Below are 12,131 nucleotides of genomic sequence, written 5' to 3'. Positions count from 1 at the left end.
CCGCCATTGCCCAGGCTTGCTTAGGTAAACAAAGCAATCTGGAAGCTCAAACTGGGTGGAGCCCACCACAGCTCAAGGAGGCCTGCCTGCCTCTGTAGGCTCCACCTCTGGGGGAAGGGCACAGACAAACAAAAAGACAGCAGTAACCTCTGCAGACTTAAATGTCCCTGTCTGACAGCTTTGAAGAGAGCAGTGGTTCTCCCAGCACACAGCTGGAGATCTGAGAACGGGCAGACTGCCTCCTCAAGTGGGTCCCTGACCCCTGACTCCCGAGCAGCCTAACTGGGAGGCATCCCCCAGCAGGGGCAGACTGACACCTCACACGGCCGGGTACTCCAACAGACCTGCAGCCGAGAGTCCTGTCTGTTCGAAGGAAAACTAACAAACAGAAAGGACATCCACACCAAAAACCCATCTGTACATCACCATCATCAAAGACCAAAAGTAGATAAAGCCACAAAGATGGGGAAAAAACAGAGCAGAAAAACTGGAAACTCTAAAAAGCAGAGCGCCTCTCCTCTTCCAAAGGAACGCAGTTCCTCACCAGCAACAGAACAAAGCTGGATGGAGAATGACTTTGACGAGCTGAGAGAAGAAGGCTTCAGACAATCAAATTACTCCGAGCTATGGGAGGACATTCAAACCAAAGGCAAAGAAGTTGAAAACTTTGAAAAAAATTTAGAAGAATGTATAACTAGAATAACCAATACAGAGAAGTGCTTAAAGGAGCTGATGGAGCTGAAAACCAAGGCTCGAGAACTACGTGAAGAATGCAGAAGCCTCAGGAGCCGATGCGATTAACTGGAAGAAAGGGTATCAGCGATAGAAGATGAAATGAATGAAATGAAGCGAGAAGGGAAGTTTAGAGAAAAAAGAATAAAAAGAAACAAAGCCTCCAAGAAATATGGGACCATGTGAAAAGACCAAATCTACGTCTGATTGGTGTACCTGAAAGTGACGGGGAGAACTGAACCAAGTTGGAAAACACTCTGCAGGATATTATCCAGGAGAACTTCCCCAATCTAGCAAGGCAGGCCAACGTTCAGATTCAGGAAATACAGAGAATGCCACAAAGATACTCCTCGAGAAGAGCAACTCCAAGACACATAATTGTCAGATTCACCAAAGTTGAAATGAAGGAAAAAATGTTAAGGGCAGCCAGAGAGAAAGGTTGGGTTACCCTCAAAGGGAAGCCCATCAGACTAACAGCGGATCTCTCAGCAGAAACTCTACAAGCCAGAAGAGAGTGGGGGCCAATATTCAACATTCTTAAAGAAAAGAATTTTCAAAACAGAATTTCATATCCAGCCAAACTAAGCTTCATAAGTGAAGGAGAAATAAAATACTTTACAGACAAGCAAATGCTGAGAGATTTTGTCACCACCAGGCCTGCACTAAAAGAGCTCCTGAAGGAAGTGCTAAACATGGAAAGGAACAATTGGTACCAGCCGCTGCAAAATCATGCCAAAATGTAAAGACCATCGAGACTAGGAAGAAACTGCATCAACTAACGAGCAAAATAACCAGCTAACATCATCATGACAGGATCAAATTCACACATAGCAATATTAACTTTAAATGTAAATGGACTAAATTCTCCAATTAAAAGACACAGACTGGCAAATTGGATAAAGAGTCAAGACCCATCAGTGTGCTGTATTCAGGAAACCCATCTCACGTGCAGAGACACACATAGGCTCAAAATAAAAGGATGGAGGAAGATCTACCAAGCCAATGGAAAACAAAAAAAGGCAGGGGTTGCAATCCTAGTCTCTGATAAAACAGACTTTAAACCAACAAAGATCAAAAGAGACAAAGAAGGCCATTACATAATGGTAAAGGGATCAATTCAACAAGAAGAGCTAACTATCCTAAATATATATGCACCCAATACAGGAGCACCCAGATTCATAAAGCAAGTCCTGAGTGACCTACAAAGAGACTTAGACTCCCACCCATTAATAATAGGGGACTTTAACACTCCACTGTCAAGATTAGACAGATCAACGAGACAGAAAGTCAACAAGGATACCCAGGAATTGAACTCAGCTCTGCACCAAGCAGACCTAATAGACATCTACAGAACTCTCCACCCCAAATCAACAGAATATACATTTTTTTCAGCACCACACCACCCCTATTCCAAAATTGACCACATACTTGGAAGTAAAGCTCTCCTCAGCAAATGTAAAAGAACAGATATTATAACAAACTATCTCTCAGACCACAGTGCAATCAAACTAGAACTCAGGATTAAGAATCTCACTCAAAACCGCTCAACTACATGGAAACTGAACAACCTGCTCCTGAATGACTACTGGGTACATAACGAAATGAAGGCAGAAATAAAGATGTTCTTTGAAACCACCGAGAACAAAGACACAACATACCAGAATCTCTGGGACGCATTCAAAGCAGTGTGTAGAGGGAAATTTATAGCACTAAATGCCCACAAGAGACAGCAGGAAAGATCCAAAATTGACACCCTAACATCACAATTAAAAGAACTTGAAAAGCAAGAGCAAACACATTCAAAAGCTAGCAGAAGGCAAGAAATAACTAAAATCAGAGCAGAACTGAAGGAAATAGAGATACAAAAAACCCTTCAAAAAAGTAATGAATCCAGGAGCTGGTTTTTTGAAAGGATGAACAAAATTGATAAACCGCTAGCAAGATGAATAAAGAAAAAAAGAGAGAAGAATCAAATAGATGCAATAAAAAATGATAAAGGGGATATCACCACCGATCACACAGAAATACAAACTACCATCAGAGATTACTACAAACACCTCTACACAAATAAACTAGAAAATCTAGAAGAAATGGATAAATTCCTCAACACATACACTCTCCCAAGACTAAACCAGGAAGAAGTTGAATCTCTGAATAGACCAATAACAGGAGCTGAAATTGTGGCAATAATCAATAGCTTACCAACCAAAAAGAGTGCAGGACCAGATGGATTCACAGCCAAATTCTACCAGAGGTACAAGGAGGAACTGGTACCATTCCTTCTGAAACTATTCCAATCAATAGAAAAAGAGGGAATCCTCCCTAACTCATTTTATGAGGCCAGCATCATCCTGATACCAAAGCCAGGCAGAGACACAACCAAAAAAGAGAATTTTAGGCCAATATCCTTGATGAACATTGATGCAAAAATCCTCAATAAAATACTGGCAAACCGAATCCAGCAGCACATCAAAAAGCTTATCCACCATGATCAAGTGGGCTTCATCCCTGGGATGCAAGGCTGGTTCAATATATGCAAATCAATAAATGTAATCCACCATATAAACAGAACCAAAGACAAAAACCACATGATTATCTCAATAGATGCAGAAAAGGCCTTTGACAAAATTCAACAACCTTCATGCTAAAAACTCTCAATAAATTAGGTATTGATGGGATGTATCTGAAAATAATAAGAGCTATCTATGACAAACCCACAGCCAATATCATACTGAATGGGCCAAAACTGGAAGCATTCCCTTTGAAAACTGGCACAAGACAGGGATGCCCTCTCTCACCACTCCTATTCAACATAGTGTTGGAAGTTCTGGCCAGGGCAATTAGGCAGGAGAAGGAAATAAAGGCTATTCAATTAGGAAAAGAGGAAATCAAATTGTCCCTGTTTGCAGACGACATGATTGTATATCTAGAAAACCCCATTGTCTCAGCCCAAACTCTCCTTAAGCTGATAAGCAACTTCAGCAAAGTCTCAGGATACAAAGTCAATGTACAAAAATCACAAGCATTCTTATACACCAACAACAGACAAACAGAGAGCCAAATCATGAGTGAACTCCCATTCACAATTGCTTCAAAGAGAATAAAATACCTAGGAATCCAACTTACAAGGGATGTGAAGGACCTCTTCAAGGAGAACTACAAACCACTGCTCAAGGAAATAAAAGAGGATACAAACAAATGGAAGAACATTCCATGCTCATGGGTAGGAAGAATCAATATCGTGAAAATGGCCATACTGCCCAAGGTAATTTACAGATTCAATGCCATCCCCATCAAGCTACCAATGACTTTCTTCACAGAATTGGAAACACTACTTTAAAGTTCATATGGAACCAAAAAAGAGCCCTCATCGCCACGTCAATCCTAAGCCAAAAGAACAAAGCTGGAGGCATGACACTACCTGACTTCAAACTATACTACAAGGCTACAGTAACCAAAACAGCATGGTACTGGTACCAAAACAGAGATATAGACCAATGGAACAGAACAGAGCCCTCAGAAATAACGCTCTGTATCTACAACTATCTGATCTTTGACAAGCCTGAGAAAAACAAGCAATGGGGAAAGGATTCCCTATTTTATAAATGGTGCTGGGAAAACTGGCTAGCCATATGTAGACAGCTGAGATTGGATCCCTTCCTTACACCTTATACAAAAATCAATTCAAGATGGATTAAAGACTTAAACTTTAGACCTAAAACCATAAAAACCCTAGAAGAAAACCTAGGCATTACCATTCAGGACATAGGCATGGGCAAGGACTTCATGTCTAAAACACTAAAAGCAATGGCAACAAAAGCCAAAATTGACAAATGGGATCTAATTAAACTAAAGAGCTTCTGCACAGCAAAAGAAACCATCATCAGAGTGAACAGGCAACCTACAAAATGGGAGAAAATTTTTGCAACCTACTCATCTGACAAAGGGTTAATATCCAGAATCTACAATGAACTCAAACAAATTTACAAGAAAAAAACAAACAACCCCATCAAAAAGTGGGCCAAGGACATGAACACACACTTCTCAAAAGAAGACATTTATGCAGCCAAAAAACACATGAAAAAATGCTCACCATCACTGGCCATCAGAGAAATGCAAATCAAAACCACAATGAGATACCATCTCACACCACTTAGAATGGCAATCATTAAAAAGTCAGGAAACAACAGGTGCTGGAGAGGATGTGGAGAAATAGGAACACTTTTACACTGTTGGTGGGACTGTAAACTAGTTCAACCATTGTGGAAGTCAGTGTGGCGATTCCTCAGGGATCTAGAACTAGAAATACCATTTGACCCAGCCATCCCATTACTGGGTATAATACCCAAAGGACTATAAATCATGTTGCTATAAAGACACATGCACACATATGTTTATTGCGGCACTATTCACAATAGCAAAGACTTGGAACCAACCCAAATGTCCAACAATGATAGACTGGATTAAGAAAATGTGGCACATATACACCATGGAATACTATGCAGCCATAAATAATGATGAGTTCATGTCCTTTGTAGGGACATGGATGAAATTGGAAATCATCATTCTCAGTAAACTATCGCAAGAACAAAAAACCAAACACCGCATATTCTCACTCATAGGTCGGAATTGAACAATGAGAACACATGGACACAGGAAAGGGAACATCACACTCTGGGGACTGTTGTGGGGTGGGGGGAGGGGGGAGGGATAGCATTGGGAGATATACCTAATGCTAGATGAAGAGTTAGTGGGTGCAGCACACCAGCATGTCACATGTATACATATGTAACTAACCTGCACATTGTGCACATGTACCCTAAAACTTAAAGTATAATAATAATAATAATAAAAAGTAAACATCAAGGAGGAAATTGCCATAATGTAGTCATTTTCAAGGTCTCATAGACAATTCTGGGAACTCTCTAAACAATAAATTACAGATGGGACTAGATTGGGGACCATTCTGATTACTGATAAACTGGCAGCAATTTAACACAGACAAATGAATGTTTACACTGGAATGTAAATGGCTAGATTTTTTGTAAGACACTTTAGGAGAATCCCATAGCTCAGAGAAGAAAGGGTTGGGGAGGGAGGCAGTGAGAAGAAAATAGCCAGAGAGGGGGGAATAAAGGACTTTAGAATTCCCCAGTTGACCTAGGGGTGAAACAACTGGAATGGAAGACTTATGGAGTAAAATGGAGAGGGGAGGACAGGAAATTTGAAGTCTGAAAGAAAGAGATGAGGGTATGTATTCCCTTGGTTTCTCCTATCTGCTTTTTGGTCTGTTGTCAGTGGCTGCAATTCTCTACATAAAACCACGGCTCTGGTTGAGTGGTAATCCCTCTTGCACCATGACTGTCTCTGAATTTTGAGAGTCATTCTTTCCTTTTCCTCTTTCGGCTTACACATGAAAATGGCTTCCTTTTGTGTAGCTAGGTTAAGATGCTTTATTTTTCTTATTGATTTTGTCAGGGTCCTCTCCATTGTAAAGAATTATTTTATTAAATACTTCTTAAATTAAACAGTTTGAGTGTGCCAACAGATTTCTGCTGGACCCTGACCCAAGCAGTAATTGGTACCAGGAATGATCTCAGGAAACTGAGCTTAAAATGGAATCCTAGGGTTGGGTTACTCCTACATTTGAACAGCATATGGATAACCTCCTTACCAGGTGAATGGAATCATTATTCCAGATAATGGAATAATCTGCAGCAAGTGGTAGCATCATGATTACTCACATTATCACCAATGGTGGCATAGAATGGGGTGCAGATTGAGGGGGAAAGCATATGGAGATCCAACGGCTGAGGCAATTTGTCCCTTTGATGACAAAAATTGTGGGATAGGATGGGTGTATTTTACACTAGAGAGGGTCCATAGAGAAAGGGATAAATTGAAAGTCTCAAATGTCCAACTCAAGGCCCAGATAGATATTCAGAAAGTCTTTATGACAAAATTCCATATCTCCTGTCTTATGCTATACAATATTGTGCCTATAGTTAACAATGCTGTATTTTACACTTAAAAATATGTTTAAAGGGCACATGTGAGTGAGGATTAAGTCTGGAGCCTAATTAAACTTTGCAGAGCTGTATTGTCAATTAAATGTCAACTCTTATTAGATCTTTTGCTAAGGTAAGAATACTAGTGAGGAAGAAAAAGGTGTGTTCTGGTATGAGTTAGCTTGAACACTGGAAGACCTGCAGGATCTTGCACTATTTTATAAAGAGCCAGGGGAGCATGTGTAAGAGCATAGTCTAAGGGTATTAGGTGATTTTGAAAGGATAAAGATTATGTCAACCCAAATTTGTGTTTCTGCCTAGAATTCAGGATTTAATGTGTTGCCTTAAAGTGCTGAGAATTGCTAGATGTGTTAACTGATGCCTGGACTCAAAAGTGGCCTATACCAATGAGTTTGAAATGCCAGCATTTCCCTGGAAAACATTACTCAGGACGATGGGTTGTTGGAATAGATCTACTTATTATATGCCACCTTCTCAGACACCTCCTATAAATAAATACCTGTACCCCATAGGAGAGGAAAATCCCTAGAAGCCCTATGGACAAAATAACAAATCACAACAAATGATGCTGGGGTTGTGGAGAAATTGGAACCTTTGAACACTGTTGGTGAAAATGCAAAATGGTGCAGCTACTATAGAAAACAGTTGTGTGGCCGGGCACGGTGGCTCATGCCTGTGATCCCAGCGCTTGGGGAGGCCAAGGTGGGAGGATCACAAGGTCAAGAGATCGAGACCGTCCTGGCCAACATGGTAAAACCCTGTCTTTACTAAAAATACAAAAAAAAAAAAAAAAAAAAAAAAGAAGAAAAAGAAAAAAAAATCCTGGGCATGTTGGCACATACCTGTAGTCCCAGCAACTCGGGAGGCTGAGGCAGGAGGATCGCTTGAATCCGGGAGGCGGAGATTGCAGTGACCAAGATTGCGCCACTGCACTCCAGCCTGGTGACAGAGCGAAACACCATCTCAAAAAAAAAAAAAAATTTTTATGGAGGTTCCTCAAAAATTACAAGTAGAATTACCATATGATTCAGCAATTCTATTTCTGGGTATTTATCCAAAAGAATTGAAATAAAGATCACAAAGAGGTACCAGCACTGCCATGCTTACTGCAGCACTATTCACAATAGCCAAAATTTGGAAAAAACCTGAATGTTCGTCAGTGGATGGATAAAACAAATGATATATGCAATATACATGCAATGGAATACATGCAATGGAATATTATTCAGCCTTAAGAAAAAAGGAAATCCTGTAATATTTGACAACATGCATGAACCTGAAGGATATTATAATAAGTGATATCAGCCTGTCAGAAAGAACAGATACTGTGTGATTCTGTTCATATAAGTATCTAAAATAGTTACACTCATGGAAGCAAAGAATGGAATTGTGATTGTCCGGGGCTGGGAGCAGGGTAGGGCGAAATAGGAGTTGCTATTATCAATGGATATAATATTTCAGTTATGCATGATGAATACATTCTAGAGATCTGTGCGATATTGTGCCTATAGATAACAATGTTGTATTTTACACTTAAAATATGTTAAAAGGGTAGATCTCAAGCTAAATGCTCTTACCATGATAACATTTTAAAAGAAACGAGTCACTATGGATAGAGTGGTTTGATCCTGCAGGGATTTGTAGCAGCTGTTAATTGATCATCATATCCACAGGAATGAAATGGGCAGTTGTAGTAGCTTACTAGGACTGTCATAAAATTGTCACAAACTGGGTGTCTTAAAACAACAGAAATGTGGCTGGGCACAGTGGCTTATGCCTGTAATGCCAGCACTCTGGGAGGCCGAGGCAGGTGGATCACTTGAGGTTGGGAGTTCAAGACCAGCCTGGCCAACATGATGAAAACCCATCTCTACTAAAAATACAAAAATTGGCCAGGCGTGGTGGCAGGTGCCTGTAACTGCAGCTACTCGGGAGGCTGAGGCATGAGAATCGCTTGAACCTGAGAGGCGGAGGTTGCAGTGAGCCGAGGAGATGGCACCACTGCACTCCAGCCTGAGTGAAAGAGCAAGACTGTCTCAAAAAAAAAAAAAAAATACCAGAAATGTATTCTCTTAACAGTACTGGAGGCAAGAAGTCTGAAATCAAGGTGTCAGCAGAACTGCTCTTTTTCTGGAATCTTTATGGGAAAATCCTTCTTTGTCTCAGCTTCTGGTGCCTTCTAGCATTTATTGGCTTCCTTGACCGTATCACTCTAATCTCTGCTTCTGTGGTCACGTTGCCTTCTCCTTTTCATGTATCTATGTCTTCTGCCTAAGAACACTTGTCATTGGACTTAGGGCCCACTGGCTAACAATACAGGATGATTTAAGACCCTCAATTTCTTTATAACTGCAAATACCCTTTGTCCAAAGTAAGGTCACATTCACAGGTTCCAGGTATTGGGACATGGACATATCTAAAAAGAGGCCACCATTCAACCTACTACAGCAGCCTACTATGGTTCTGTTTGACATACATAAACAGAGAAATTTCAACTCTGGAGGACAGAGAAAATTTTACTCAAGGTGCTGTAATGGGGAATATTTTATAGAGTGTGTGTATGTGTTTTATAGAGTTCTCAGACTTGAGCCATTTCACAGACCTAGAGCCTCTTGATGGAAAAAGAGGCTGTCTATCTTTAAGGAATGACCCCCCTCTACACACTTACAAATGGTTACCATGAATGTTTCTTTAAGTCATCTCTAGTGGGACCTTGGCCATTTTTCGGGGGACAGTGGCCTGGGGAGAAGCAAACACCCAGACCTTCCAAGGGTTCTTAGATACTGGCTCTGAAATGACTCAGGTCCAGAGATTCAAAACATCACTGGAGCCCACTGATCAAAGTGAGAGTCTTTGATGACTAGGTATTTGATTCTTGGACTAAATTTATCCAGTAATAAGTGCATTGCAAACCATAGACTCATTATGTTCATTTGTCCAATCCCAGTATATAAAGACAGATATATATATATATACACTTAGTAACTGGCAGTATTTCATACATAGGTTTTCTGATCTATGCAGTGAGGATTATTATAGTAGGAAAGGTCAAATGAAAGCCCCTGAAACTGTACTCCAATCCTTTCCTTCCCCAGAAAGAACAACAAAAAACAATACTGTATCCATAAGAGAATTGATGCCATCAAATACTGGAAAGATAATGATTCTTATCATGTTTCCATTTAATTACCCTTTAGGCTGGTGCAAATTTTATTCAAGTTGTAAAGCTGTGGATTATCATAAAGTTAATCAGAGGATGATACCAATTGCAGCTATGGTTACAGATGTCTTGTCTTTATTGGAGCAAGTCTATGTATCTCCACCTCTTTGCATATATCTATTGACCTATTAAATGTTTTCAACTCCCACTAGGAAAATATATAATATGTATTTAGTCTTCATGAGTCAGGGACAGCAGTAAGTCTTCACCATCTTACCTCAAGTCTCTGTCAATGTTCCTGTTCTCCCTCATAATGCAGCAGGGTCTTGACTGTCTTGATATTCCACAGAATGTCATGCTGCTCCATTACATGGTTGATATTTGCAAATTGGACCTGGCAAGCCTGAAGTAGCAAGCATCCTTTGTGCCTTAGTAACACATCTGCATGCCAGCGGGTGGGAGATGAATCCCAATTACTAAGGAGAAATCATGGTGATGCTATACAATGGGGGCCAAGGAGAACTATGTTTGGAATCCAAAGGATTCTCTGGGGGCTTTTTAATACTTGTTTTCTTAATAGAAAAGGTCAGTGGAGAACTATAGCAACCAAATAATACATGACTGAGAACTCAGACACTTCAGTGATAAAGATTTTGGTTTCATCCCCATAAAGAATCCTGACCAGCTGGTGTTGTCTGAGGGCAGTGGAAAAAGGAAATCATAGATAACAACTAACGCCCTGTGACCAATTACAGAAATGAGGGCTCTAGTAGCTTTGTGTATTGTCTCTTATTTATTATCTGTAGGTTTTTATCTGTATATGCCAATCAGTTTCCTTTTTCCCATTTCCATTTTATATATAAGTTATTGCAGGTTACATTTAAAATTTATCCTTTAGGTAACAGAATTGAGTCAGACTGTAACTGAATTTTAGAGAGAAATCATATAACTAGTGATGGAATAACTGTTGGGACCGAGTCTCCTAATTTGGAAGAACGGGTAAGAAAATCATCTTTTCTTTGAAGGATAGCTTTTCTTGACAGGTGGAGGCATAGGAAGTTCAAATGTGGGTAGAAGGTTGTATATAGGAGCCAAGAAGCCAGAGGAGTTAGCTGTGCCAATTCTTATTTTTATTGCCTCTCAGCTCCCGTGATGTACTTCTTTGCCCTGCTTGCGATACTGAAGCTGAACCCTGTAAATGTTTCTCCTTTGCCAGCTGGACCATGTTAAGTATTGCTACTGGAGGGAAATGTAAGGAGAATTTAGTGAGGGGCTTATTTTCTTGGTTCCCACGTGCTTTTTTGAATCCTTATTCCATGTGGTGAGCAGTGGGCAGAACACCCAGTGGCACCCCCCCCCTCCAGTGAGTTTTGCCAGCACTTCTGTGTGTGGCTGGAATACCCAGTGGTGGTGTTCACTCTCCCATGAGTTTTGTCAACACCCCAGTGATTAGCTCCCCAGTGAATCTTACCAACAATCTGATGAGCAGTTTCCTGCTCATCAACCCTGGCTTGTGGCATTACAACACACTTCTCTGTCACATCTACACCTTCTCCATCAAGGTCTGATTCTCAGCTTTGGGTAGGGCATGCTTTCAAACTTGTTTCTTCTTTGGGTGATCTGCCTCTACCTTAAAGGTGGACAGATCCCTGCATCTGCTGTTCCTGTATTCTTAAGAGGTCTCTCAGTAGTAGTTAATCCCTTGTTACTAGTCAATAAGTCTTTATATTAAAATTTCCCAGTTCAAATTACAGTGTTGCTTTTAATCTCCTGACTGGACCTTGACAGATACAGGAGAGAATGTTCAGATTTCCTCTCTAAAGTAAGAAACCATTTGCTGTACTTTGTATTACCCACCGTTAAGAAAGAGGCATAATGCTTAGCAGGCTTCTTAGATTCTGGGGGCAACATAAGCCACATTTGGATATGGGGCTTTAAACTATTTATTGAATAAACCTTAAAACTGCCAGTTTTAAGTGAAATAAAGGCACTTCTTCTGCTTGGGCCATGTGACTTAGCAAACCCTATACCTGTAGTATAAGAAATATGCTATTTTCCGCCAAGTGTTCTGATCTTCTTTTGGGTCGTGGTGGAAACTGAATACCCAGTCATGATTCACTAAATGACTGTGTTACTCAAAATGCCCATAGTAAACTGTGAGTTATCAGATCCACACGATAATAGAGTTGACCATGCACAGCATCATTCCT

The 12,131-nt window shown here is 40.4% G+C and overlaps 2 annotated features.

Annotated features, from left to right (window-relative positions):
• Positions 10,060–10,930: an enhancer, noted in NCBI's record as "OCT4-NANOG-H3K27ac hESC enhancer chr7:123079893-123080763 (GRCh37/hg19 assembly coordinates)". NCBI's record gives its function as "activates a minimal SCP1, AML or CMV promoter by ChIP-STARR-seq in primed H9 embryonic stem cells {active_cell/tissue: H9 hESC(primed)}" and the evidence as "EXISTENCE:reporter gene assay evidence [ECO:0000049][PMID:30033119]".
• Positions 10,931–11,803: an enhancer, noted in NCBI's record as "H3K27ac hESC enhancer chr7:123079020-123079892 (GRCh37/hg19 assembly coordinates)". NCBI's record gives its function as "activates a minimal SCP1, AML or CMV promoter by ChIP-STARR-seq in primed H9 embryonic stem cells {active_cell/tissue: H9 hESC(primed)}" and the evidence as "EXISTENCE:reporter gene assay evidence [ECO:0000049][PMID:30033119]".

Source organism: Homo sapiens, chromosome 7 (assembly GCF_000001405.40).
Source record: "Homo sapiens chromosome 7, GRCh38.p14 Primary Assembly".
Lineage (NCBI taxonomy): Eukaryota > Metazoa > Chordata > Mammalia > Primates > Hominidae > Homo > Homo sapiens.
The sequence above is the reverse complement of the archived record's forward strand: the minus strand, read 5'-3'. Positions and strand labels throughout refer to the sequence as shown.